This window comes from Homo sapiens, chromosome 12 (assembly GCF_000001405.40).
Source record: "Homo sapiens chromosome 12, GRCh38.p14 Primary Assembly".
Classification (NCBI taxonomy): domain Eukaryota; kingdom Metazoa; phylum Chordata; class Mammalia; order Primates; family Hominidae; genus Homo; species Homo sapiens.
The window spans coordinates 123,232,414-123,258,882 of record NC_000012.12 but is presented as its reverse complement, the minus strand read 5'-3'; the positions used below and the strand labels follow the sequence as shown (position 1 = coordinate 123,258,882).

The 26,469-nt window shown below is 47.5% G+C and overlaps 2 protein-coding genes across 27 annotated transcripts in view, besides 4 other annotated features; one reads left to right on the top strand and one right to left on the bottom strand.

Annotated features, from left to right (window-relative positions):
• On the bottom strand, positions 923 to 25,969 carry MTRFR (mitochondrial translation release factor in rescue). Of its 6 annotated transcripts, none has more exons than XM_047429877.1 (3): positions 25,501 to 25,969; positions 4,927 to 5,236; positions 923 to 2,070 (listed from the first exon to the last, which is right to left on the bottom strand). In XM_047429877.1, the coding sequence occupies exons 2-3, from the start codon at positions 5,206 to 5,208 to the stop codon at positions 1,852 to 1,854; spliced, it is 501 nt and encodes a 166-aa protein (XP_047285833.1). In that variant the 5' UTR covers positions 5,209 to 5,236; positions 25,501 to 25,969; the 3' UTR covers positions 923 to 1,851. The 6 variants fall into 6 exon arrangements, with proteins under 6 accessions (XP_047285833.1, NP_689482.1, XP_024305041.1 ...); NM_152269.5 differs by lacking the exon at positions 25,501 to 25,969 and adding an exon at positions 25,352 to 25,447; XM_024449273.2 differs by lacking the exon at positions 25,501 to 25,969 and adding an exon at positions 15,849 to 16,255.
• Positions 7,514 to 8,303: an enhancer, noted in NCBI's record as "H3K27ac-H3K4me1 hESC enhancer chr12:123735127-123735916 (GRCh37/hg19 assembly coordinates)". NCBI's record gives its function as "activates a minimal SCP1, AML or CMV promoter by ChIP-STARR-seq in naive H9 embryonic stem cells {active_cell/tissue: H9 hESC(naive)}" and the evidence as "EXISTENCE:reporter gene assay evidence [ECO:0000049][PMID:30033119]".
• MPHOSPH9 (M-phase phosphoprotein 9) overlaps positions 14,881 to 26,469 on the top strand; it is a 91,679-nt gene continuing 80,090 nt past the window's right edge. For 20 of the 21 annotated variants that reach the window (NR_103517.2, XM_047428066.1, XM_047428065.1 and 17 more), the window contains exon 1: positions 25,742 to 25,808. The gene's annotated coding sequence lies outside the window, so the exon portion shown is untranslated. Of the gene's footprint in view, positions 15,031 to 25,741; positions 25,809 to 26,469 lie in introns of those variants that run through there. The other variant, XM_017018673.2, reaches the window with a different exon arrangement.
• Positions 20,509 to 20,708: an enhancer, noted in NCBI's record as "active region_7257". NCBI's record gives its function as "activates an Ori minimal core promoter by ATAC-STARR-seq in GM12878 lymphoblastoid cells {active_cell/tissue: GM12878}" and the evidence as "EXISTENCE:reporter gene assay evidence [ECO:0000049][PMID:35858748]".
• Positions 21,319 to 21,368: an enhancer, noted in NCBI's record as "active region_7256". NCBI's record gives its function as "activates an Ori minimal core promoter by ATAC-STARR-seq in GM12878 lymphoblastoid cells {active_cell/tissue: GM12878}" and the evidence as "EXISTENCE:reporter gene assay evidence [ECO:0000049][PMID:35858748]".
• Positions 25,730 to 25,969: an enhancer, noted in NCBI's record as "active region_7255". NCBI's record gives its function as "activates an Ori minimal core promoter by ATAC-STARR-seq in GM12878 lymphoblastoid cells {active_cell/tissue: GM12878}" and the evidence as "EXISTENCE:reporter gene assay evidence [ECO:0000049][PMID:35858748]".

Genomic DNA, 26,469 nt, shown 5'->3' with positions numbered 1-26,469 from the left:
GAATGAGCCCTGCATTGAATGTGTAAGCATCCAAAGCTGTCACTGAGGTGAGAAGAGCCTTCATTGGCAGCCTCAAAGAGAAAGGTGTGCTTGGATGTATGCACTGGACATGCCACCTAGGCCTACTGGACATGCCGCCTAGGCCTGCTGGACAGACTGCACAACTGAGGCCCTGCAACTGGCAATCTCCCAATGGCTTTCTCACCTCTCAGCATTTTTCCCTATTTGTTTTCTACGTGGACTCCAGAAGAGTTCTAACAAGCCAAGCTATAAAGCATGGCTTTAAAAGAAAAACAACTGTAAGGTAAAATCCAGCTTAAGTGACGTAAATTTACAAGCAAATCAGATTCTGGAACCTCACCTTTACAAATCTTGCAAATCAACGTGCAGGGAATGTGTTTGTTTCTACATCAGAGGCACAACTGGGCATCATACAGCCTAGAAGCTAATAGAGCACATGGACAAGGAACAGAGCCTTTAGCTCTTCCAACCCTCTTATTTTCTCTCTTTTTTTTTTTTTTTTTAGACAGTCTTGCTCTGTTGCTCACGCTGGAGTGCAATGGCGCAATCTTGGCTCACTGCAACCTCGCCTCCCAGATTCAAGCAATTCTCTTGCCTCAGCCTCCCAAGTAGCTGGGATTACAAGCGTGTGCTGCCACGCCTGGCTAATTTTTGTATTTTTAGTAGAGATGGGGTTTCACCATGTTGGTCAGGCTGGTCTCAAACTCCTGACTTCCATGATCCGCCTGCCCCAGCCTCCCAAAGTGCTGGGATTACAGGCGTGAGCCACCATGCCCGGCCCTTGTTTTCTCTTACTGTCTTGAGCTGACATGGGGATAACTGACTTTTAAGTGTCACTGGGCAGCAGCTTCCCAGCAGATGGCAAGTTGCCAAGAAATGCTATTAATGTTTGACTCCATTCTCCAGTTCTCCATAAAAATTGACTTTACTAATTACAAAAAAAATTTTATTATTACAAAACATACAATCTCACAAAGGTACAATTTGAAATACGGGGACACCCTTCTAACTACCACCCAGGTGAAGAAACAGAACTTTGTCAGGCACCCCAGAACCCCTCCAAGTGCCTCATCACAATGACAACTCCTTCCCTCTAGAAGTAGCCATTATTCTTGTATAGTACTGACTGTGTTTCTTTATGGTTTTATCTTATTTTTTAGAGACAGGGTCTTGTTCTGTCACACAAGAACAAGTGGACAGGTGGAGTGCAGTGGTGTTCATAGCTCACTGCAATCTTGAGCTCCTGGGCTCAGGTGATCTTCCTGTCTTAGCCTCCCAAGGTGCTGGGATTATAGGCGTGTGTCATTGCACTTGAACTAGTTTTATTTTTTTTTTGAGATGGGGTCTCGCTCTGTCACCCAGGTGTTGCCCAGGCTTGAGTGCAGTGGCGCGATCTCAGCTCACTGCAACCTCCGCCTCCCAGGTTCACGCAATTCTCCTGCCTCGGCCTCCCGAGTAGCTGGGATTACAGGTGCCCGCCACCATGCCTGGCTAATTTTTTGTATTTTTAGTAGAGACGGGGTTTCACCATGTTGGCCAGGCTGGTCTCAAACTCCTGACCTCAAGTGATCCGCCCGCCTCGGCCTCCCAAAGTGCTGGGATTACAGATGTGAGGCACCGTCCACCGTGCCCAGCCGAGTTTTATTCTTGAATCGTGCATGTCTCTGTTCACTACAGTTTAGTGCACCATTTAAATAAATTTGTTGTCTTTTAAGTTCATCAAAAATATTTCTTTTGAAGCACTATAATAATGCTGGTGATGGAACTCGCCACCATTATTCCCTGGGAGCTTCTGGCAGATTCTGTCAGTTGGAATCTCTAATTCTTTTCTCAGTGGACCTTTTTACTTGACTCCCACAGTTCTTTAAGTAGCTTCTTTTTTTCCAGGGTTTCCTTTGCTCTTTTTTTCCTTTCTTGTTTTTTCTTCGCCGCTTCTCGTTTTTCTTTGTGAACAGGACTGTTTTCACCATTGTAGAAAACATCTACTTTCTCTTGTAGGATTTTCCGAGCTAGCTTTCTGTTCTGATCAACTGATCTTGTCTGATGGCACTGTAAGAGATAATATTTTATAATGTGAAAACCACAGGATGTTAAAAATGGACAGGACCTCAGAAGTCATTAAATTCAACCTGTTCGCTTTTTTATTTACTATTTATTTATTTATTGAGACAGAGTTTCGTTCTTGTCATCCAGGCTAGAGTGCAATGGTGTGATCTTGGCTCACTGCAACCTCCGCCTCCTGGGTCCAAGTGATTCTCCTGCCTCAGCCTCCCAAGTAGCTGGGATTATAGGCGCACGCCACCATACCCAGTTAATTTTTGTATTTTTAGTAGAGATGGGGTTTCACCATGTTGGCCAGGCTGGTCAGGACAACCTGTTCGCTTTATAGAGAGGGACAAACCTGGATGGCAAAGCCCCTTATCAGGAGTCCCCATGAGTCAGTGACAGTGAAGACCAGCCCCTTTCCTGCCTCTGCCCTGTGTCCCATACCCTTGCTGTATTATGTGGCTTTCAGTGTGATTGTTTTAATCATTAGGAGTGCTATTTTGTTTAGAAGCAACAGTGGCCTTCAAATAACTTAAAGTCGCAAAATAATTATGAAAGTATCAACTGATGTATCTAGCTTGTGGCCAGTTAACAACCACTTTGTGTGCACCATTCATAAGCATAAAGTTCTGTCTGAAGGAAGAAAATAGCATCTTTATTATTAGTCAGCCATAACTCATTCACTGTGTAATGCCTCAGTTATTATAGGGTGAGTGCCTTGCAAAGCTGTTTGATAAAAGATAAATCTTAAGCCAGGCATAGTGGCTCACACCTATAATCCCAATGCTTTGGGGGCTGAAACGGGAGGATCACTTGAGGGCTGGAGTTTGAGACCAGCGTGGGCAACATAGCAAGACCCCCCATCTGTACCAAAAATGTAAAGATTGGATGGCCGGACGTGGTGGCTCATGCCTGTAATCCTAGCACTTTGGAGGCCAAGATGGGTGGATCACTTGAGGTCAGGAGTTTGAAACCAGCCTGGCCAACATGGTGAAACCTTGTCTCTAGTAAAAATACAAAAAAATTAGCTGGGCGTGGTGATGGGCACCTGTAATCCCAGCTACTCGGGAGGCTGAGGCAGGAGAATTGCTTGAACCCAGGAGGCGGACGTTGCAGTGAGCTGAGATTGCGCCACTGCACTCCAGCCTGGGCAATAGAGCAAGACTGTCTCAAAAAACAAAACGAAACAAAAAACACTGAGTGTGGTGGGGCATGCCTGCAGTCCCAGCTACTCGGGAGGCCGAGGCGGGAGGATTGCTTGAGCCCAGGTGTTTGAGGCTATACTGAGCCATGATTGCACCACTGCACTCCAACCTGGCTGACAAAACAAGACCCTGTCTCTTAAAAAAAAAAAAATTCTATGAAATTAGGGTTAAAGAATAATTCTGAAAGCAAGTTTGGATTGAGTTATGTCAAATAGGTTAAACAAAAATTAACTCTCAGGTTTCAGAATTTTGTTACTCATGAATGACACTTTTCAAGGGGGAAAAGAAATGATTGAGGTTTTACATGATATGCTTGTGGCTCAGAAACCCAGCAGTGAAGTGCAGCTGTTAGGAACATGGACTTGGGGTATGGTGTGAACTGACTACTGAGTGGCAGGACCTTGGGCAGGTCACTTAGCCTCTCTATGTCCCAGATTCCACACCTGTACTGTGATGGAAATCATGAACATGGGGTTTTGGGGACTGCAGAGTTAATGCTGCTTCGAACAGTTCCTCCCACACGTTTCCATGACCTGTAAGTATCTGCTGCCAGTATCGTTATATATGAAACACCTGCCTTGGCTATCTCTCTTCTGTGCTGCTTCCAGGACTCTCTCGTGATCCCTGAGGCAGATGGACTGGGAGCCCCTCTGACCAACCTTCTTTTTTTTTTTTTTAAGAGGGAATCTTGTCTGTTGCCCAGGCTGGTATGCAGTAGCATGATCTCGGCTCACTGCAATGTCTGCCTCCAGGGTTCAAGCGATTCTCCTGCCTTAGCCTCCGAGTAACTGGGATTACAGGCACGCGCCACCACACCCGGCTAATTTTTGTATTTTCAGTAGAGATGGGGTTTTGCCATGTTGACCAGACTGGTCTCGAACTCCTGACCTCAGGTGATCCACCCACCTCGGCCTCCCAAAGTGCTGGGATTACAGGCATGAGCCACTGTGCCTGGCCCGAGACTTGTTTTTTTATGTAAAAAGGAAGACTCCTATAGGCAGCTGTGCACAGCATTTTTTCTTCTGAGGTTGGAAAATGCCTGGCCTCCATGATCCTCCATGATCTCGCCCTCAGTCCTCTCTGTCCAGAAGAGGAGGTATCACCGACATTTACCAAAGGGGACAGAGAGGCGTGGAGGATGTGGCCACCCTAATGTTAACCAGCCATGACAGTTAAGGGCTGGGACTGCCAGCAGACAACCCATGCCTGCTTGCCGCCTCCTCAGGGACTTGGATCCCATAGCAATGCTGGGGATCTCGGCAGCCTTCCTGCAGTGGGAACGGATTTGAAAGAACCATGCTGCCCGGGCGCCTGCCTTTATCAGCCACTGCTTAGCTTTGTCAAGACGTTGCTTCCGGGGCAGCAGCCAAGCACCAGTGCTGTCTGCCAAATTCAAGGATGGCAGCCATACCCTGGCTCCAAAAGATCCTGGAAACAGGCTTCCCAGGCTGTTGTAGGAGGTTCTGCCTTAGGGAGGAATGGCTCAGGGATGGGACGAGATCTGCGGTGCTCTCTACTGCCTGGCTGGTAGAGGGTGGCCCAAGCCAGAAAAATAATGCACTTCGGCTGATCCCATTCACACTTGGGAGAAATCTCTGGAGGCTGTGGAACCCTTGGGCGGGGCCTCTCCCCTCAGCGGCCTTCTGTGATCTACCTTTACAACGATGCCTGAGGGGATGTGCTTCAGCACCACGCAGTTGCTGGTTTTGTTGGTTGCCTGGCCCCCTGGACCGTGTCCTTTCACAAACTGCTCTTCGAGTTCATTCTCATCCAAGGAAAGCAGTGCAGGGTAGTCCTTCTTGCCTGCCATCTGGACCGGAGTGACAGCTATTCCTGGGGATAACAACGTCAGCTTCTCCCAAAGCCGGAGTCCCCATGGCGCCGGGCATATTCGGGTCAGTGGTGTAGGAAAATGAAATAAACCCACGGTGCTCATAAGGAACGTGGCTCTGCTGGCTGAGGACCTGGGTTAGATGAATAAGGAGAGCTTTCAGTAAGAGGCATCTGCCCTCAAGATTATGCTTCAGATTCAAAGACAGCTTTTTATAAAGCAATTCAAATGATGACCCATCTGTTACCGAGGGAATTTAGGAAATGAGTAGAGACACATTATTCAGCAAGACGCCCCTCTCCTCAGCCTTGCACTGTCTGCCATGTTACCAGGACATGCCCTGCCAGCTAATACATATTTTCTTGCAATAGACCAAAAATATCTTCCAAGCACCCGGGGGTGCTGTTTTCTCAGAAAGGAGAGGTTTTGAGTGTGAAATTCAGGCCGGGCATGGTGGCTCACACCTGTAATCCAAGCACTTTGGGAGGCCGAGGCAGGTGGATCACAAGGTCAGGAGTTCAAGACCAGCCTGGCCAAGATGATGAAACTATCTCTACTAAAAATACAAAAATTAGCCGGGCTTGGTGGTGGGTGCCTGTAATCCCAGCTACTCGGGAGGCTGAGGCAGAGCCACTGCACTCCAGCCTGGACAACAGAGCGAGACAGTGTCTCAAAAAAAAAAAAAAAAAAAAAAAAAAAAAAAAAAAAATTCAAAGGAACGGACTGTAATTTGATACAGGTAAATAGTGCATCAAGCAAAAATTAGGATCTGGGTCAAGTGCCAGTATTTAAATGTTTGAGAATCTCTGAAATCAAAATGTAAAGATGACAGTATGAGAGTCTATTTTATTTTTTGAGACGGAATCTCGCTCTGTCGCCCAGGCTGGAGTGCGATGGCGCGATCTTGGCTCACTGCAACCTCCGCCTCCCAGGTTCAAGTGATTCTCCTGCCTCAGCCTCCTGAGTAGCTGGGATTACAGGCGTGTGCCACCACACCCGGCTAATTTTTGTATTTTTAGTAGAGGCGGGGATTCACCATGTTGGCCAGGCTGGTCTCGAATTCCTGACCTCAGGTGATCTGCCCACCTCGGCCTCCCAAAGTGCTGGGATTACAAGTGTGAGCCACCCCCCACCCCCACCCAGGGCTGAGTAGTCTATTTTATAGCTGAGCTTAAACAGTCTGACATAGTAAACATCACTATCAATCAATGTCATGATTGTTGTTTTTTGTTTCCAGTTTCATGGATTTGAATGTGAACATCTGTTCCCTGGACGCACTGCCAACAACGTGGTCCAACTGGTACTCATCGTTGGAACTACCAAGTCAACTAATTTTTTTTTTTTTTTTGAGACAGAGTCCCACTCTGTCGCCCAGGCTGGACTGCAGTGGCGCGATCACAGCTCACTGCAGCCTTGACTTCCCCAGGGTCAGGCGATTCTGTCACCTCAGGCTCCCTAGTAGGTGAAGACTACAGGCAGACACCACCACATCTGAGTAATTACTTTTTGTAGAGATGGGGTTTCGCCATATTGCCCAGGCTGGTCTTGAACTCCCTAAGGTCAAGTAATCCACCTGCTTCAGCCTCCCAAAGTTCTGGGATTACAGGCGTGAGCCACTGCATCCAGCCAGTCAACTTTTAATAAGGTCCTTGTTAGGTACAGTAAGGGACATGAGATGAAAAAGAGCTGGACTGTCTTCTTGGAGCTTACAGGTTAGTTAGAGAAGATATTAAAAGACAGATGAGATGGGCCTAGACTCTCTGCCTACATCTTTCTCCAGTGCTGGATGCTCCCTGCCCTTGAACATCAGACTCCACGTTCTTCAGTTTTGGGACTCAGACTGGCTCTCCTTGCTCCTCAGCTCTAGACAGCCTATTTTGGGACCTTGTGATCATAATTTATTTGCATGGGAGCTCCTGGGATCATAGCAGACAGGAGGCAGGACTAGATTGTAGCTTCAGACAGAGCAGCATGCAGAGGCTTGCATTGTGAATTTTAGCTCTAGATCAACTGCAAGAACAAACCAGCAATCCTGAGAGGACCCACAGACCCTCTGAAGGAAGCGGATTGCTCCTGCAGGGCCCGGGAGACCCCCAAATACTGTGAGTGCCCCAACTGTGGAAGTGGGAAAGGGAGATCCTCCTCTCCCGAACACACACCCCCCCACTGGAGAGGCTGAAGGTCTGTTTGCAGGAGAAATTTCCAACTTTACCTGGAGCTAAGTCAGACTCAGCAGAGCGAACTACAGGGGTAGAGGAAGCAGCAGAAAGGCCGTGGGAGCTCGCTGGGTCCCCAGAAGGCCCATTCCTGCCTGGCACCACAGGGATCCATCGGGAGGGTGGCCAGAGGAGCAAGGGATAAAACTCCACAGGGAGAAGAATTCTCTAGTCGAACTTCGTAACAATTTAAACAGGGTGAGAAGCCTCCTGGCCAGAACTTGGGCAACTGCACGAATCCAGCATGCAGACTTCACAGGTGGGGGAAGAACTACAGCCCTTTTCTTTCGCTGCTGGGAGGGGCACAGCCTTGGGGCAAATTTTCAAGCCAGTCTCACCCTCTGCCTGGAAACAGACTCGGGGCAGTTGTGGGGGAACACGGTGGGAGTAAGACCGGCCCTTGGGTTTGTGTGGGAGCTGGGTGAGGCCTGTGACTGCCAGCTTTCCCCCACTTCCCTGACAACCTGCATGACTCAGCAGAGGCAGCCATAACTCTCCTAGGTACACGACTCCAGTGACCTGGGAATCTCACCCACATTCCCTACAGCAGCCGCAGCAAGACCCGCCCAAGGAGAGTCTGAGCTCAGACACGCCTAGCTCCACCCCCACCTGATGGTCCTTCCCTATGCACCCTGGCAGGAAGACAAAGGGCAAATAAATCTTGGGAGTTCTAGGGCCCCGCCCACTGCTGGTTCCTCCCCATATTACCACAGCTGATGCTTTCTGGAAAGGACCACCTCCTGGCAGGAGGCCAACCAGCAAAAAAAATAGACCATTAACCCACCAAAGCTCCATTGTACCCTCTGCCACCTCCACCGAACAGGCACTGGTAGCCATGGCTGAGAGACCCATAGATGGTTCACATCACAGGACTCTGCAGATAACCTCCAGTACCAGCCTGGAACTGGGAAGATTCGCTGGGTGGCTAGACCCAGAAGAGAGACAACAATCACTGCAAGTTTGGCTCATAGGAAGCCACATCCATAGGAAAAGGGGCAGAGTACTACATGAAGAGAACACCCCATGGGACAAAAGAATCTGAACAGCCTTCAGCCCTAGACCTTCCCTCTGACAGAGCCTACCCAAATGAACAAACCCTGGTAATATGACAAAACAAGACGCTTCAACACCCCCCAAAAAACATACTAGTTCACTGGCAATGGATCCAAACCAAGAAGAAATACCTGATTTACCTGAAAAAGAATTCAGGAGGTTAGTTATTAATCAGGGAAGGACCAGAGAAAGGTGAAGCCCAATGTAAGGAAATCCAAAAAATGATACAAGAAGTGAAGGGAGAAATCACTCAGGGAAATAGATAGCTTAAAGAAAAAACAATAAAAAATTCAGGAAACTTTGGACACATTTTTAGAAATGCAAAATGCTCTGGAAAGTCTCAGCAATAGAATTCAACAAGTAGAATAAAGAAATTCAGAGCTCGAAGACAAGGTCTTCAAATTAACCCAATCCAACAAAGACAAAAAAGAATAAGAAAATATGAACAAAGCCTCCAAGAAGTCTGGGATTGTGTTAAACGACCAAACCTAAGAATAATTGGTGTTCCTGAGGAAGAAGAGAAATCTAAAAGCTTGGAAAACATATTTGGGGGAATAATCGAGGAAAACTTCCCCGGCCTTGCTAGAGACCTAGACATCCAAATACGAGAAGCACAAAGAACACCTGAGAAATCCATTGCAAAAAGATCTTCATCTAGGCATATTGTCATCAGGTTATCCAAATGAGAGGTGACAATGTGCTAGTAGCCCTCACTCGCTCTCGGCGCCTCCTTGGCCTCGGCATCCACTCTGGCTGTGCTTGAGGAGCCCTTCAGCCCGCCGCTGCACTGTGGAAGCCCCTCTCTGGACTGGCCAAGGCCAAAGCGGGCTCCCTCCGCTTGTGGGGAGGTGTGGAGGGAGAGCTCGCGGGCCAGTGAGGGCTTGGCGGGCCCCGACCTAGGAGTGGCCGGCTGGTGCCGCCGGCCCCAGGCAGTGAGGGGCTTAGCACCCCGGCCAGCAGCTGTGGAGGGTGTGCCGGGTCCCCCAGCACTGCCAGCTCACCCGGGCTGTGCTTGAATTCTCGCTGGGCCTCAGCTGCCTCCCCGTGGAGCAGGGCGTGGGACTTGCAACCCGCCATGCCTGAGTCCCCCCCTCCCCCTGCCCTGCTCCCTCATGGCCAGAGCCTCCCGGACGGGCGCCGCCCCCTGCTCTGCAACCAGTCCCATTGACCGCCCAAGGGCTGAGGAGTGCGGGGGCATGGTGTGGGACTAGCAGGCAGCTCCACCCACGGCCCCAGCATGGGATCCAGTAGGCAAAGCTAGCTGGACTCCTGAGTCGGGTGGGGACTTGGAGAACTTTTATGTCTAGCTAAAGGTTTATAAATACACCAGTCAGCACTTTGTGTCTAGCTCAAGGTTTGTAAATACACCAATCAGCACCCTGTGTCTAGCTCAAGGTTTGTAAATGCACCAATCAGTGCTCTATGTCTAGCTAATCTAGTGGGGACTTGGAGAACTTTTGTGTCTAGCTAAAGGATTGTAAATGCACCAATCAGCACTCTGTGTCTAGCTGAAGGTTTGTAAACACATCAATCAGTGCTGTGTCTAGCTAAATCTAGGGACTTGGAGAACTTTTGTGTCTAGCTAAAGGATTGTAAATGCACCAGTCAGCACTCTGTGTCTAGCTCAAGGTTTATAAACGCACCAATCAGCACCCTGTCAAAACAGACCAATCAGCTGTCTGTAAAATGGGCCAATCAGCTCTCTGTAAAATGGACCAATCAGCAGGATGTGGGTGGGGTCAGATAAGGGAATAAACGCAGGCTGCCTGAGCCAGCAGTGCAACCCGTTCGGGTCACCTTCCACACTGTGGAAGCTTTGTTCTTTTGGTCTTTGTGGTAAATGTTACTGCTGCTCACTCCTTGGGTCTGTGCTGCCTTTAAGAGCTGCAACACTCACTGCGAAGGTCTGCAGGTTCACTCCTGAAGTCAGCGAGACCACAAACCCACCAGAAGGAAGAAACTCTGGATGCATCTGAACATCTGAAGGAACAAACTCTGGACACACCATCTTTAAGAGCTGTAATACTCACCATGAGGGTCCGTGGCTTCATTCTTGAAGTCAGCAAGACCAAGAACCCACCAATTCCGGACAAAGTTAAAATGAAAGAAAGAATTTTAAGAGTCTGTGAGACAGAAGCACCAGGTAACCTATAAAGGAAAACCTATCAGATTAACAGCAGATTTCTCAGGAGAAACACTACAAGCTAGAAGGGATTGGGGTCCTATGTTCAGCCTCCTCAAACAAAACAATTATCAGCCAAGAATTTTGTATCCAGCAAAACTAAGTATCACATATGAAGAAAAGATAGTTGTTTTCAGACAAACAAATGCTGAGAGAATTCACCATTACCAAGCCACTGCTACAAAAACTGCTAAAAGGAGCTCTAAATCTTGAAACAAATCCTGGAAACACATCAAAACAGAACCTCTTTAAAGCATAAATCACACAGGACCTATAAAACAAAAATACAAGTTAAAAAGCAAAACCAAAAAACCCCTAAAGTACACAGGCAACAAAGAGCACAATGAATGCAATGGTACCTCACATTTCTTTCTTTTTTTTTTTGAGACAGAGTCTCACTCTGTTGCCCAGGCTGGAGTGCAGTGACATGATAATGGCTCACTGCAAGCTCCGCCTCCCAGGTTCATGCCATTCTCCTGCCTCAGCCTCCCAAGTAGCTGGGACTATAGGTGCCCGCTACCACGCCCGGCTAATTTTTTGTATTTTTAGTAGAGATGAGGTCTCACTGTGTTAGCCAGGATGGTCTTGATCTCCTGACCTCATGATCCGCCCACCTTGGCCTCCCAAAGTGCTGGGATTACAGGCATGAGCCACCGTGCCCAGCTGGTACCTCATTTCAATACTAACATTGAATGTGAATGGCCTAAATGCTCCACTTAAAAGATACAGAACTGCAGAATGGATAAGAACTCATCAACCATCTGCTGCCCTCAGGAGACTCACCTAACACATAAAGACTCACGTAAACTTAAAGGGGTGGAAAAAGGCATGTCATGCAAATGACACCATAAACAAGCAGGGGTAGCTATTCTTGTATCAGACAAAAACTTTAAAGCAACAGCAGTTAAAAGAGACAAAGAGGGACATTATATAATGGTAATAAGGCCTTGTCACAGGATAATATCACAATCCTAAACATATATGAACCTAACACTGGAGCTTCCAAATTTATAAAACAATTACTAACAGACCTAAGAAATGAGATAGACAGCAGCACAATAATAGTGGGGGACTTCAGTACTCCACTGACAGCACTAGACAGGTCATCAAAACGAAAAGTCAACAAAGAATGGATTTAAACTATACCTTGGAACAAATGGACTTAACAGATATATATAGAACATTTCATCCAACAACTGCAGAATATACATTCTATTCAACAGTACATGGAACTTTCTCCAAGAGAGATCATATGACAGGCCATAAAATGAGCCTCAATAAATTTAAGAAAATTGAAATTAGGCGTGAGCGGTGGCTCACGCCTGTAATCCCAGCACTTTGGGAGGCCGAGGCAGGTGGATCACAAGGTCGGGAGATTGAGACCATCCTGGCTAACACAGTAAAACCCTGTCTCTACTAAAAATACAAAAATTAGCCGGGCGTGGTGGTGTGTGCCTGTAGTCCCAGCTCCTGGGGAGGCTGAGGCAGGAGAATGGCGTGAACCCGGGAGGTGGAGCTTGCAGTGAGCCAAGATTGCTCCACTGCACTCCAGCCTGGGCGACAGAGCGAGATTCCATCTCAAAAAAAAAAAAAAAAAAAAAAAAAAAAAAAAAAAAAAATTGAAATTATATCAAGCACTCTCTCAGACCACAGTGGAATAAAACTGGAAATCAACTCCAAAAGGAACCTTCAAAACCATACAAATAAATTAGCTGGGTGTAGTGCCAGGTGCCTGTAATCCCAGCTACTTGGGAGACTGAGGCAGGAGAATTGCTTGAACCTGGGAGGCGGAGGTTGCAGTGAGCCGAGATTGTGCCATTTGCACTCCAGCCTGGGCACAAGAACAAAACTCCGTTTCAAAACAAACAAAACACCAAAAAAACCCCACAAACAAAAAATGCAAATACATGCAAATTAAATAACCTGCTCCTGAATGAGCAGTGGGTCAAAAACAAAATCAAGATGGAAATTAAAAAATTCTTCAAACTGAGGCTGGGTGCAGTGGCTCAGCACTTTGGGAGGCCGAGGAGTGTGGATCACCTGAGATTGGGAGTTCAAGACCAGCCTAACCATGGTGAAACCCCGTCTCTACTGAAAATACAAAATTAGCCGGGCGTGGTGGCGCATGCCTGTAATCCAGCTACTCGGGAGGCTGAGGCAGGAGAACCGCTTGAACCTGGGAGGCGGAGGTTGCAGTGAGCTGAGATCGCCCCACTGCACTCCAGCCTGGGTGACAGAGCGAGACTGTCTCACAACAAAACAAAACCAGCAAAAAAAAATCTATGACAAACCCACAGCCAACATAATACTCAATGGGGAAAAGTTGAAACTGTTCCCCCTGAGAATTGGAACAAGACAAGAATTCCTACTCTCACCACTTCTCTTCAACACAGTATGGAAGTCCTAGCTAGAGCAATCATACAAGATAACGAAATAAAGGGCATCCACATCCATAAAGAGGAAGTCAAGCTGTCACTGTTTGCTAATGATGTGATCGTTTACCTTGAAAACCCTAAGGACTCCTCCAGAAAGCTCCTAGAACTGATAAAAGAATTCACAAAGTTTCTGGATACAAGATTAACATACACAAATCAGTAGCTTTTCTATACACCAACAGCGACCAAGTGGAGAATCAAATCAAGAACTCAACCCCCTTTACAATAGCTGCAAAAACGAACAACAACAACAACAAAAAACAAAAACAAAACTTAGGAATATACCTAACACAGGAGTCGAAAGACCTCTACAAGGAAAACTACAAAACTGCTGAAAGGAATCATAGATGACACAAACAAATGGAAACACATCCCATGCTCATGGATGGGTAGAATCAATATTGTGAAAATGACCATACTGCCAAAAGCAATCTACAAATTCCACACAATCCCCATCAAAATACCACCACCATCATTCTTCACGGAATTAGAAAAAAAAATCTAAAATTCATACGGAACCAAAATAGAGCCCACATAGCCAAAGCAAGACTAAGCAAAAAGTACAAATCTGGAGGCATCATATTACCTGATTTCAAACTATACTATAAGGCCATAGTCACCAAAACAGCGTGGTACTGGTATAAAAATAGGCACGTAGGGCCAGGCGTGGTGGCTCACGCCTGTAATCCCAGCACTTTGGGAGGCCGAGGAGGGTGGATCACGAGGTCAGGAGATCGAGACCATGGTGAAACCCCGTCTCTACCAAAAATACAAAAAATTAGCCGGGCGCAGTGGTGGGCGCATGTAATCCCAGCTACTCGGGAGGCTGAGGCAGGAGAACTGCTTGAATTCCAGGAGGTGGAGGTTGCAGTGAGCTGAGATGGTGCAGCTTGCCTGCACTCTTGCCTGGGTGACAAGAGTAAGACTCTGTCTAAAAAAAAAAAAAAAAAAAAAAAAAAAAAATGCCGGGTGCGGTGGCTCATACCTGTAATCCCAGCACTTTGGGAGGCTGAGGCGGGCAGATCACAAGGTCAGGAGTTCGAGACCAGCCTGACCAACATGGTGAAACCCCATCTCTACTAAAAATACAAAAATTAGCCAGGTGTGTTGGCACGCACCTGTAATCCCAGCTACTTGGGAGGCTGAGGCAGGAGAATCGCTTGAACCCATGAGGCGGAGGTTGCAGTGAGCCAAAATCACACCATTGCACTCCAGCCTGGGTGACAGAGCGAGACTCTGTCTCAAAAAAGAAAAGATCACAGAAAAAAGTATTCTAGAAAGGGCTTTGTTGATTCCTTTCAAGGCTTGAGGCTGATTTGTAGTAAAATCTCTGTCACCCAGGAGGATTACGGGAACTGCAAAAGTACCACTTGGTTAGAGCATCTTTATTGAAGATTACTTAGTAGATTATGTAGTAGGCACTAAATACAGATGTGCTGCTTTTTTTTTGTTTTTTGTTTTGAGATGGAGTTTCGCTCTTGCTGCCCAGGCTGGAGTGCGATGGCGCGATCTTGGCTCGCTGCAACCTCTGCCTCCTGGGTTCAAGTGATTCTCCTGCCTCGGCCTCCTGAGTAGCTGAGACTACAGGCATGTGCTACCACGCCCGGCTAATTTTGTATTTTTAGTAGAGACAGGGTTTCTCCATGTTGGTCAGGCTGGTCTTGAACTCCTGACCTGAGGTGATCCACCAGCCTCAGCCTCCCAAAGTGCTGGGATCACAGGAGTGAGCCACACCGCGCCCGGCCTGTGCTGCTCTTATTAAGCAACTGCCTCATATGAGGCTCTAAATAGCTTCTTTTAGTGTTTGAAACCTCATAAACTGTAGTCATGGCAACTGGTGTCTGATCTAGGTGGGAGCCAGCTTCTAAGGTAACTGGACATCCAGCAGATCACTCCACAGCTTTGCTCCCAGCCTGTCCACCTCACCCTCGGTCAACTTCCCCTGAGCCTGCTGCTGTCTCTTGAGCCCACTGTGAGATCCAGATAGATACCCACTGAGGAGGAAGCAGGATGGAGACATGGGATCAGGCGTTGCTTTCTTGTAAATATGTGCATTTCCTGTTACTTTACATGTAAGCTTCTAGGTTAGTAACCAGTACAGTGATACTGAGATGACACTGGTCACCTTTAGAGTGACAATATGATATCCTTCATCTCTACTTCTGCTATTTCTTTTTTATTTTTTATTTTGAGACGGAGTCTTGCTTTGTCGCCAGGGTGGAGTACAGTGGCGCGATCTCGGCTCCCTGCAACCTCCGCCTCCTGGGTTCAAGTGATTCTCCTGCCTCAGCCTCCCGAGTAGCTGGGACTACAGGCACGTGCCACCACACCTAGCTAATTTTTGTATTTTTTTTTTTTTTTTTTGAGACGGAGTCTCGCTCTGTCGCCCAGGCTGGAGCGCAGTGGTGTGATCTTGGCTCACTGCAAGCTCCGCCTCCCGGGTTCACGCCATTCTCCTGCCTCAGCCTCCCAAGTAGCTGGGACTACAGGCATCTGCCACCACGTCCGGCTAATTTTTTGTATTTTTAGTAGAGACGGGGTTTTGCCATGTTAGCCAGGCTGTTCTCGATTTCCTGACCTCGTGATCCGCCCGCCTCGGCCTCCCAAAGTGCTGGGATTACAGGCGTGAGCCATTGCGCCCAGCCAAAAAAAAAAAAATTGTTTTAAAAGATGGTATTGGCAAGATGCTCCATGACTGTGAAGGGATATACTTTGAAATGGAGTGTGCCAAGGAAAGTGGTGCTTTAAAAACTGGTTTTGTTTAATGTGTATGAAATGTGTATAAAATCAAATACCTTAGAAAAAGATAAATGATAAACCCAGGCACTTTCTCTGAACTCTCTCTAAGAATCACCTTACCTACGAAAGATTGAGTAGACTAAGTCAATGTCCAAAACTTATCTTTCCTTATTCCTGTTTTCAATCCACAAAACAAAATTCATTTGTGTATCAGGCAGCCTGTAGTCCCGGATTCAATTCATTATGGAACATGAGCCCCGCACTTCTGAGTTTCTCATCCGCTAGCTGGTAAATGTGACCAGGCAGGACAGCGCTGGCACAAACCAGTGCAGGGAAAAAGAGAGGAAGTGATTCCAAGGCAAGGCGAGACTCCCAGACAAAGGATGGAGATGAGAGTGCTTTTATCAGCTGCTTTGTCACCAGTCCACTGTTTGAATCTCTACCTTTCTGTCCTAGTTCAGAGCTGCCAGACACACTGGAAGGTCTCCCACCCAGCTGGAGTTCAAGAAGGTCTCCGGTGTTCAGTTACTGGCTGCTTTGTTTAACAGTTAATTCCAACAGCCAATCAGACAATTCTAGACACTTTTAGTATCTCCTGGAGCTTTGGCCCTACTCCAATGACTGCTAAAAATGACAAACACACCCATGGTTCCACTTCCCCAAAGGCCAAAAAAATACGAATTGGATTTCAGTGTTTGTGATACAGAGTAATCCAAAGTCTTTAGGGAACAATAAAAGCAGCTCAAATTATAGCTCATTGTGACATGAAAAAAGAGAAAAAGAAAAATGGTACAGAGAAGTGCTAGTAAGAGGAAACCAGCAGTCATGACAGCTCTGCCCCAGTTCCCTTCTTCAAACGTGAGCTTCGGCGTAGGGCTGGCGCTCTACCCTGACTCCCTAGGCTCTACTTTTCCTTTGATGATGGCTTCTGCACTAAATGGCTGATCGCAGTTAAGGTGAAAGCTCCTGTCATTGCTTCAGTCCCTTCCAACTTGGTTAAGTTCAGAGATAACAGGTCTAAGGAATTTACAAAAGGGAACATTAATTTGTGCAAGAATATTTAAAACATCTATTGAGTATCAGGCATGGGCTTCAGAGAGCCTAAAGAGTCTGTAGCATAAAAGAGAAATGAAGACAAGCACAAACAGGATACATGTGATAGCTGAGGATGGATAACATACTATAGAGCAGTGGTTCTCAAACTTTCTATGCCCCTCATCCTCCTGGAGAGCTTGCTGTCAGGATTTGAAACCTATGTGCTACTGAGTGGCGTTCTTCATGACTGGATCTGGTCAGCACACCCCTCCTCCAGCTTCCAAATTCAACTCAAACCAAGACAGACTATCTGCAGGGATGGCATGTTCAACTCTGCAACAAGGCCTGTGGCCGGAGCAAACAAGATAATAGCCTACAGTCCCAGCTACTTGGGAGGCTGAGGTGGGAGGATTGCTTGAGCCCAGAAGCTGTCTCCAGCCTGTGCAACATAGGGAGACCTCATCTCTAAAAAACAAAATAGGCTGGGCATGGTGGTTCGTGCCTGTAATCCCAGCACTTTGGGAGGCTGAAGTAGGTGGATCACCTGAGGTCAGGAATTCGAGACCATCCTGGCCAACATGGTGAAACCCCGTCTCTACTAAAAATACAAAAAATTAGCTGGGGGTGGTAGTGGGCACCTGTAGTCCCAGCTACTTGGGAGGACTGAGGCAGGAGAATTGCTTGAACCCGGGAGGCAGAGGTTGTAGTGAGCCGAGATCACGCCATTGCGCTCCAGCCTGGGCGAAGACTGAAGGAGCGAGACTCTGTCTCAAAAAACAACAACAACAAAAAACAGTAAAATAAAAAATACAATAAAAAATAAAATAATGCTGGGTGTGATGGCTCACACCTGAAATCCCAGCATATTGGGAGGCTGAGGTGGGAGGAGCCCATGAAGCTGGGAGTTCATGATCAGCTTGGGCAACATAGTGAGACTCCATCTCTTTTATTAAAAAAAAAACAAAAACAAAAAAAAAACAACCCCAAATAAAAGCCTAGATGTAGGAGGTGATGCTGTGTCATCAACAGCTCTCACTTTGGAGAGAAGTAAAGAGGATGGTAATGCCTTTCATTTCGTGTCTCTGAAAAGGTTAAAGGATATTTGAGGCTGGGTGTGGTGGCTCACACCTGTAATCCTAGCACTTTGGGAGGCTAAGGTGGGCAGATTACCTGAGGTCAGGAGTTCAAGACCAGTCTGGCCAACATGGTGAAATCCCATCTCTACTAAAAATACAAAAAATTAGCTGGGTGCAGTGGTGTGCTGAGGCTGAGGCAGGAGAATCGCTTCAACTCGGGAGTCGGAGGTTGTGGTGAGCCAAGATCACGCCACTGCACTCCAGCCTGGGGTACAGAGTGAGACTTTTTCTCAAAAAAAAAAAAAAAAAAAAAAAAGGTCAATAAAATAAAGGATATTTAATCTATTTTCAGGAAAGCATGAGATGTCAATCTCTGGACCTGCCTTCTGGACGCCATTTATCTAAAATTCACTGTTTGTTTTTTTTTTTTGAAAGGTAAAGCACTAGTTTACCTTAGCTACAACTTTCATGGTATATAAACCTTGCAGAAACTTCATTAAAACTAACTGAAGGAACAGGTGCGGAGACTAACTGAAACAGTGTGCTTTACGAAGATTGTTAAAGTACTCACCAGCCAGTCTCCCCATGCAAACTTTAATGTGCATACAAATCACCTGGGAGTCTTGTGACTTGTGATGCTGGTTCACTAGGTCTGGGGCGAGGCCTGAGGCTCTGCATTTCTTCTTCTTTTTTTTTTAGACGGAGTCTCCGTCACCCTGACTGCTCACTGCAACCTCCGCCTCCCGGGTTCTAGCAATTCTCCTGCCTCAGCATCCCAAGTAGCTGGGATTACAGGTGCCCACCACCACGTCCAGCTTTTTTTTTTTTTTTTTTGTATTTTTAATAGAGATGGGGTTTCACCGTGTTGGTCAGGGTGGTCTCGAACTCCTGACCTCAGATGATCCACAAGCCTCAGCCTCTCAAAGTGCTGGGATTACAGGCGTGAGCCACCTTGCCCGGCGAGGCTCTGCATTTCTAACCAGCTCACAGATGAGGCTGTTGCTGCTGGTCCAGGCCCCACACCCCATGGCAAGGCTAAGTGCTTTAAACAAGGATGCTGCTAGTATTCTGGCACATAGGACTGTTCATTGCTTGATGAGATCCCTGGGATCATGATGGCAATGGTGAAGGCTGAGAAGGTGTAAAGGAGTGTGATGGGAGGGCAAGGAAATCGTCCCAAGAAAAGAATTAAACAAATACTGATTTGAGCTAGCAGAGATGGTGACATGGAAACAAGGAGATTGGGAAACTGGGTCATCTGGGGGAAAAAAAAATAAAAAATGTCACCTCTGTTGTGTTAATGTTCTAGAACAGTGGTGTCCAATAGAAACTAACGCTACTGGGCTGGGCGCGGTAGCTCACGCCTGTAATCCCAGCACTTTGGGAGGCCAAGGCGGGCAGATCATGAGGTCAGGAGATCGAGACCATCCTGGCTAACACGGTGAAACCCCGTCTCTACTAAAAATACAAAAAATTAGCTGGGCATGGTTGCACGTAGCTGTAGTCCCAGCTACTTGGGAGGCTGAGGCAGGAGAATCGCTTGAACCTGGGAGGTGGAGATTGCGGTGAGCCGAGATTGCGCCATTGCACTCTAGCCTGGCAACAGAGTGAAACTCTGTCTCAAAAAAACAAACAAAAAAACAAAACTAATGCTACCCACATGTGAAATTCTAAATTTTCTAGTAGTTACATTAGAAATAATAAATGATGAAATGTATATTTAACCCAATATATCAAAACTATTATTTCCACACGTGATCAACGTTTTATTATTTTGAGACCAGTCTGGCTCCATCACCCAGGCTGGAGTATAGTGGCGCCATCTCAGCTCACTGCAATCTCTGCCTTCCAGGCTCTAGCCATCCTCTCACCGCAGCCTCCTGAGTAGTTGGAACTACAGGCATGTACCAGCATGCCTGGCTAATTTTTGGATTTTTTGTAGAGACGGGGTTTCACCATGTTGCTGTGGCTGGTCTGGAACTCAAACTCAAGCGATCTGCCTTCCTCAGCCTTCCAAAGTGCTGGGATTACAGGTGTGAGCCACTGCACCCAGCCAATATTTTAAAATTGAGATATTCTTTTTTCCCCCTAAATATGAAGGCTTCAAATTCTAGGTTATGGTCATACTTACAGAACATCTCAGTTTGGGCCACATGTGCTGGTGGCTACTTTATGGGACAATGTAGCTCTAGAATCTTGCTACCCAAAGTGTGGTCCACATAGTGGCAAAAGCACCACGTGGAGGATGGTTAGGAATGAAGATTTCAGGCCCTGCTCTGACCTACCAAATGAGAACCTGCAGCCTAACAAGATCCTCAGGTGATGCAGAGGCACATAAAATTTGACAAGCATTGTTCCAGAACACAGGAATCAGCAAGTTCTTCTGATTGCTAGGACAGACACTTTTAAAAGCTTTTCTTTTTCTTTTCTAAAAAAGTAGAGATGGGGTTTCATCATGTTGCCCAGTCTGGTCTCAAACTCCTGAGCTCAAGCAATCTGCCTGCCTCGGTCTCAAAAAGTGCTGGGATTACAGTCATGAGCCACCATGCCCAGCATGTTTCTTATTTATATGACATTTAAGAAACTGAGACAAGAATTCAGGAGGGCTGATTACCTGCTTATTCCGTCTTGTCTCTTCCTTAAGAAGGAGATGAAACCATAGGTCTCAAAACAATGACCTAATAAACAGTTAAGGGCCAAACAACATTGAGCTTAAACAGACCAACGTGCAATGTTGCTGCTTTGAAAAGACAAAACGGCCAGCAGGTGGTGCCAGAAGCTAAGTGAGGGGAAAATGATTTTCTGACAAATGCTTAATAATAATAATTCATGTTTCAAAAATGTGTTTTGGGGCTGGGTGTGGTGGCTCATGACTGTAATCCTAGCACTTTGGGAGGCTGAGGGTGGATTGCCTGAGCTCAGGAGTTCCAGACCAGCCTGGGCAACATGGTGAAACCCCCTCTGTACTAAAATACAAAAAATTAGCCAGATGTGGTGGTGTGCACCTGTAGTCCCGGCTACTCGGGAGGCTGCAGCAGAATAATGGATTCAACCTGGCAGGCAGAGGTTGCAGTGGGCTGAGGTCACACCACTGCACTCCACCCTGGGTGACAGAGTGAGACTCCGTCTCAAAAAAAAAAAAAGTGTTTTGGTGCTGTCTGTAAAATGGTAGTTAAAAAGAAAGTAGCATTTCCCTGTCTTTCACATCCTCCTGTTAGCTCATCCTCCTGCTGTAGGTATCTGAAATCCTTAAGGGCTGAAACCTCTCAAATGGAACCAGTGAGTATTGCTGGTAAGGCTTGAAACAGACCATGCCATTTCCTAGACTTGGGGTTTTACGCTGAAGATAAAGCACCCTTCACTCACAGTAAGTGTTTGCAGATAGTTATTTCTCAAACAAGGAAAGCATAATAGATTGAGCAGGAAATGCAGAGCTGTAGTCTTTGATTTTGGCGGACGGGAGGAAAAAGAGACTACTCTAGGTCTGGTCTAAATTTAACAGGCTTAATGCTTGAATGCTTAATGCTGCAGAATTCAAGAGATAGCTAATGAAGTAAAGAGGAAAACATTCACTTCACACAATCCCAACATCTCGTTCATTTTTATTTTATTTTTGAGCCGGAGTTTCGCTTGTCACCCAGGCTAGAGTGCAATGGCGTGATCTTGGCTCACTGCAACCTCTGCCTCCCAGGTTCAAGTGATTCTCCTGTCTCAGCCTCCTGAGTATCTGGGACTACAGGCACCTGCCATCATGCCCGGCTAATTTTGTATTTTTAGTAGAGGCGGGGGTTTCTCCTGACATCAGGTGATGCGCCTGCCTTGGCCTCCCGTAGTCCTGGGATTACAGGCGTGAGCCACAGTGCCTGGCCCCGTTTATTTTTTTTTAAGCAGAAAACTTTGAATCCACAGAATTACACCTGTGCTATTTGTGTGTATCATATTTCTTCTATTTTTTTTTTTAGCCGGAGTCTCACTCTGTCACCCAGCCTGGACTGCAGTGGCGCAATCTCAGCTCACTGCAACCTCCGCCTTCCAGATTCAAGCAATTCTCCTGCCTCAGCCTCCCAAGTAGCTGGGACTACAGGCGCATGCCGCCACGCTTGGCTAATTTTTTGTATTTTTAGTAGAGATGGGGATTCACCGTGTTTCTCAGGCTGGTGTTGAACTCCTGACCTCAGGCGATCCGCCCGCCTCGGCCTCTCAAAGTGCTGAGAGGTGTGAGCCACCGCGCCCGGCCCCATATTTGTTCTATTTATGGCATCTAACGGGAACTTTATAATTTATCAACTACACTATTAAAACAGAAACACATTAAAAAAGCAGGAATAACAACACTGTATATTTTCTTCCAAAAGTCTCAAAGCCTATATTTCTATTAACGATGCCTTGTGTTTGTTTAGGACTTAAACATATACAAACCAAAGCAGTTTCTTCTTCTTTTTTTTTTTTTTGAGACAGGGTCTCCCTCTGTCACCCAAGTGGAGTGCAGTGGCATAAAAATGGCTCAGTGCAGCCTTGACCTCCTGGGCTCAAGCAAGCTTCTTTGCCTCAGCCTCCCCAGTAGCTGGGGCCACAGGTGTGTACCACCATACCTGGCTAGTTTTTAATTTTTTGTAGAGATGGGGTCTTGCCATGTTGCCCAGGCAGGTCTCGAACTCATGGGCTCAAGCAATCCTCCTGCCTCAGCCTCCCAAAGTGATGGGATTACAGGCGTGAGCCACCACGTGCAGCTGCAAAGCACTTTCAAATACATTATTGTATTTAATACAAATAAAGAAAATAAGAGATGCACACTTCCTGATTATCTCAGTAAGACCTATCTTGGAAACCATTAGGTTTTCAATTTTTGAAACTAAATTATCCTTTCTACACCTTGTTTCATTACCTTTCATATCTCCAGATCTTTTTCCAGTTTCTTAGGCAATGTTAGCTCCTTTTCCTTAACTTTTTCTGTTTTAAGTTTTTATTTATTTATTTTTTTGAGACGAGTCTCACTCTGTTGCCCAGGCTGGAGTGCAGTGGCACCATCTTGGCTCACTACAACCTTTGCCTCCCGGGTTCCAGCGATTCTCCTGCTTCAGCCTCCCAAGTAGCTGGGATTATAGGCACCAGCCACCACGCCCAGCTAATTTTTGTATTCTTAGCCCAGATGGGGTTTCACCATGTTGGCCAGGCTGGTCTCGAACTCCTGACCTCAAGCGATCCGCTTGCCTCGGCCTCCCGAAGTGCTGGGAGTACAGGCATGAGCCACCACGCCCGGCCAACTTTCTCTTTTTAAAAAGACTAGTCAAGTACAGTAGAGAAGGGGGAAAGAGTAGAACAAGAAGTTTGATCTGTGACTGTGAACAATTAATTAAGATAACTCACTACCAGGCCGAGCGCGGTGGCTCACGCCTGTAATCCCAGCACCGTGGGAGGCCGAGGCAGGTGGATCATGAGGTCAGGAGATCGAGACCAACCTGGCTAACACGGTGAAACCCCATCTCTACTAAAAATACAAAAAAAAAAAAAATTAGCTGGGCCTGGTGGCAGGCACCTGTAGTCTCAGCTACTAGGGAGGCTAAGGCAGGAGAATGGCGTGAACCTGGGGGGCGGAGCTTGCAGTGAGCTGAGCTCTGTCACACACACACACACAAAACTCACTACGTTTGGACCAGCCTGACTTTCTGTATTTGACGACTCCTCTCATTTTTTCTTTTGTCCCAAAAAGGCCTTCCTGCCAAGGATTGCGAGCTCTGTGGCCAACAGACCTGCGTTCAATGTCTCAATGCCACAATTTACTTACTGGGTAACTTTGGCTCTAATTCCTCATCTGTAGAATGGAGATACTACTACCTAGAGTGCGAACAAAATCATACATGTTGCCATAAATGTAAAGTACTTAGTGGTCACTAAATGGGAGCATGTCAGATCTCTCAACTACAAGGCTGAGGAACTTTGGAATGACACACCACATACACTGTTGTCTTATGACACAAACCCAGTCTGGGAACTGATTATTTCATCGGCCTTTGTTTTAGAGCTTAGGGTGAAAAGGCATCTACAACAGTGGCTTGTAAATTATTTTACTTGGTATGGTCCAATTTAAGAAGTACTTGATAAGCCATGACATTACTGAAAACATGTTATTTGGTGGGATCATAATTCTGGTCTGTGAAATCAGGTACTAAGGAGATCACTGTGATGCCAAAAATATAGCCTGACTTCCCAGCAGGTTCACACTGAAAGATAAAACCATCTTCAATGAAGTAAGTCCTGGTTTAAACATAAAATATCTTTTGGAATTATGTAATATAATTTAAAAAATCATGAAAGATAGGATAACATCAAATTTACCCTTTGAAAATTGCCAGGCGTGGTGGCTCATGCCTGTAATCCCAGCACTTTGGGTGGCCGAGGCAGGAGGATGACCTGAGGTCAGGAATTCGAGACCAGCCTGGCCAATATGGCAAAACCCCGTCTCTACTAAAAATACAAAAAATTAGCCGGATGTGGTGGCGGGCACCGGTATTCCCGGCTACTCGGGAGGCTGAAGCAGAAGAATCACTTGAACCCGGGAGGCAGAGGTTAAAGTGAGCCGAGATCGCGCCACTGCCCTCCAGCCTGGGTGACAGAGAGAGACCTTGTCCCCCCTACCCCCCTCCCCCACAAAAATAAAAAAAGTAAAAAAAAATTGGTAGGTATACTTAGGAAGCTCCAATGAGATGTAACGCCTCCTGGCAGATCTGTTATTCCAAGGGCAGATCCATTTCCTGGGTTGTGGAGGCCTAAGTGATAGTGCCAGGGAAGTCCCTTTACTGTGAGCCAGAACTCCTGGAGGTAAATCGAGTAGCTGGAAAGACCTTAAAGGTTAACTATGCTGAAGAATGTGGCCTGCACAGTGCGCATGAAATGGGCTGGGGTCCCACGGGGAGGAGAGCGAGTTCCCTTTGGTCCTTCAAAAGTAGGGCTGGGTGGCTTGCGCCTGTGATCCCAGCACTTTGGGAGGCCGAGGAAGGAGGATCGCTTGAGGCCAGGAGTTCGAGATCAGCTTGGGCAACACAGTGAGACCCCCCCACCCCACGTCTATTAAAAAAAAAACGAGTATCTCCGCAAAAGCCTAGCAAGGGCAGTGCTGACCTCTACTACGTGCCAGGCCTGAAACAGCACCTGATGCGTGCTCACAGCTCCATTCCGCTCAGTTTTGTACATGAGGATCCTTCCGTTTCGCCTTGGGCCTCCGTGGAACCGTTATCTCCAGGACGGTAGTCTCTCCTCTCCCCTGCCCTGAGTGCCTGAACAGCCCCAGGGCCGACCCACAGCACCTAGCGTAAACCAGGTCCCGAGAAAACTGAGCTCGGGTGTCACGGCCGGCCCCACCCCACCGCCAGCGCGGCCTCAGGTAAACTGGCTGCGCCACTCGGGGTCGCAAGTCGGGAAAAACCCAGGCGTCCCGGCTCGCAGTCCTCTCTCCGGAGCCTTTGACAGTCGTCGGCAGCCGTAGGGTTACCTGGCTTCTCCGCAGATGCTTACCTGGTCTCAGGACCCGACTCGTGCCCTCAACGTTCTAGGGATATCCAAATCACCTCAGCGGAGGATTCGCAATCGCGATCCCTGATCTGCGCACGCGCCGTACTCCGATCGCGGTTTCTCTTATCTACCAGAGGCTCATGTTTACTCACTGCGCATGCGAGAAACTGAAGCTTCTTTCCCTCGTGGCAGCGGCTGGCTCCCAGAGAGCCAATCAGAGAAGAGAGTTTCACAGCAATCCCGCCCCCTTGTCACTCCCCCGGGGTTGGATGTCTCTCTTTGGTTGGAGCTGCGCGAGGGGGAACGGCGAGGTGGACGCGCGCGCCATGCGAGGCTGTCTCCGCCTCCTTCCGGGCAGCCAATCACTGGAGAGACGCCGGGCGCGCGCGCGCTCCCTCGGGTAACGGTCGCGAGAGGCCGCTTGCATGACCCTGACATCGGCAGCGGGAGCGGCGGCCAGGTAAGCGGCCACCAGCCTGCAGGGAGCTGTAGGCCGCTGGGGACAGGAGACGAGACTTAGGAGACACTGTCTTAGCGGCCCCTTGAGTGTGGTGATGGGCTGGGGTGTGGGGTGACGGCTGCCGATTGGCCTGACCCCCTCGGAGCCCTTCGGCGTGTGGGAGCTCTGCCCGGCCGCGGTGCGCCTTTTCTAGACTCGGCGCCCTTGAGTGACACTCGCGCGGCCCAATCGCAGATCGCTCTTCCTGAGGGGCGGGGGGTTTGTGGGGTTTTTTTAATTTTTCCCCCCATTTTTTGCCAAGGTGCCCCGGTTTCCTTTTGGAATCGCGGTTGTAGTTGCAGGAGCGGTGGCTTTTCTCCGTCCTCCCTGCTTTCCGTAGCTTAGGCGACTGCATAGATTCTCCCTCTCCTTCCCACTTTGACCCGATAGCCGCCACCAGCCATTGCGGGCTGACTGTGAGCTCAGAATGTCGGGATCTGGCCTCATCCCCATCTGAAATCTCTTCCTCTCCCCCAAGCCTCCCGTCAAGGCGGAGCGCCCAGTTAACTTTCATGTTTCATAACCATCAATCGTTCCTTTTCCCCAGCTCCCTTTTTTTGCTAGGGGGTAGGGACACCAAAAGCGTCATATCTTGTTGCTGGGAAATATAAAAGCTCTGCTC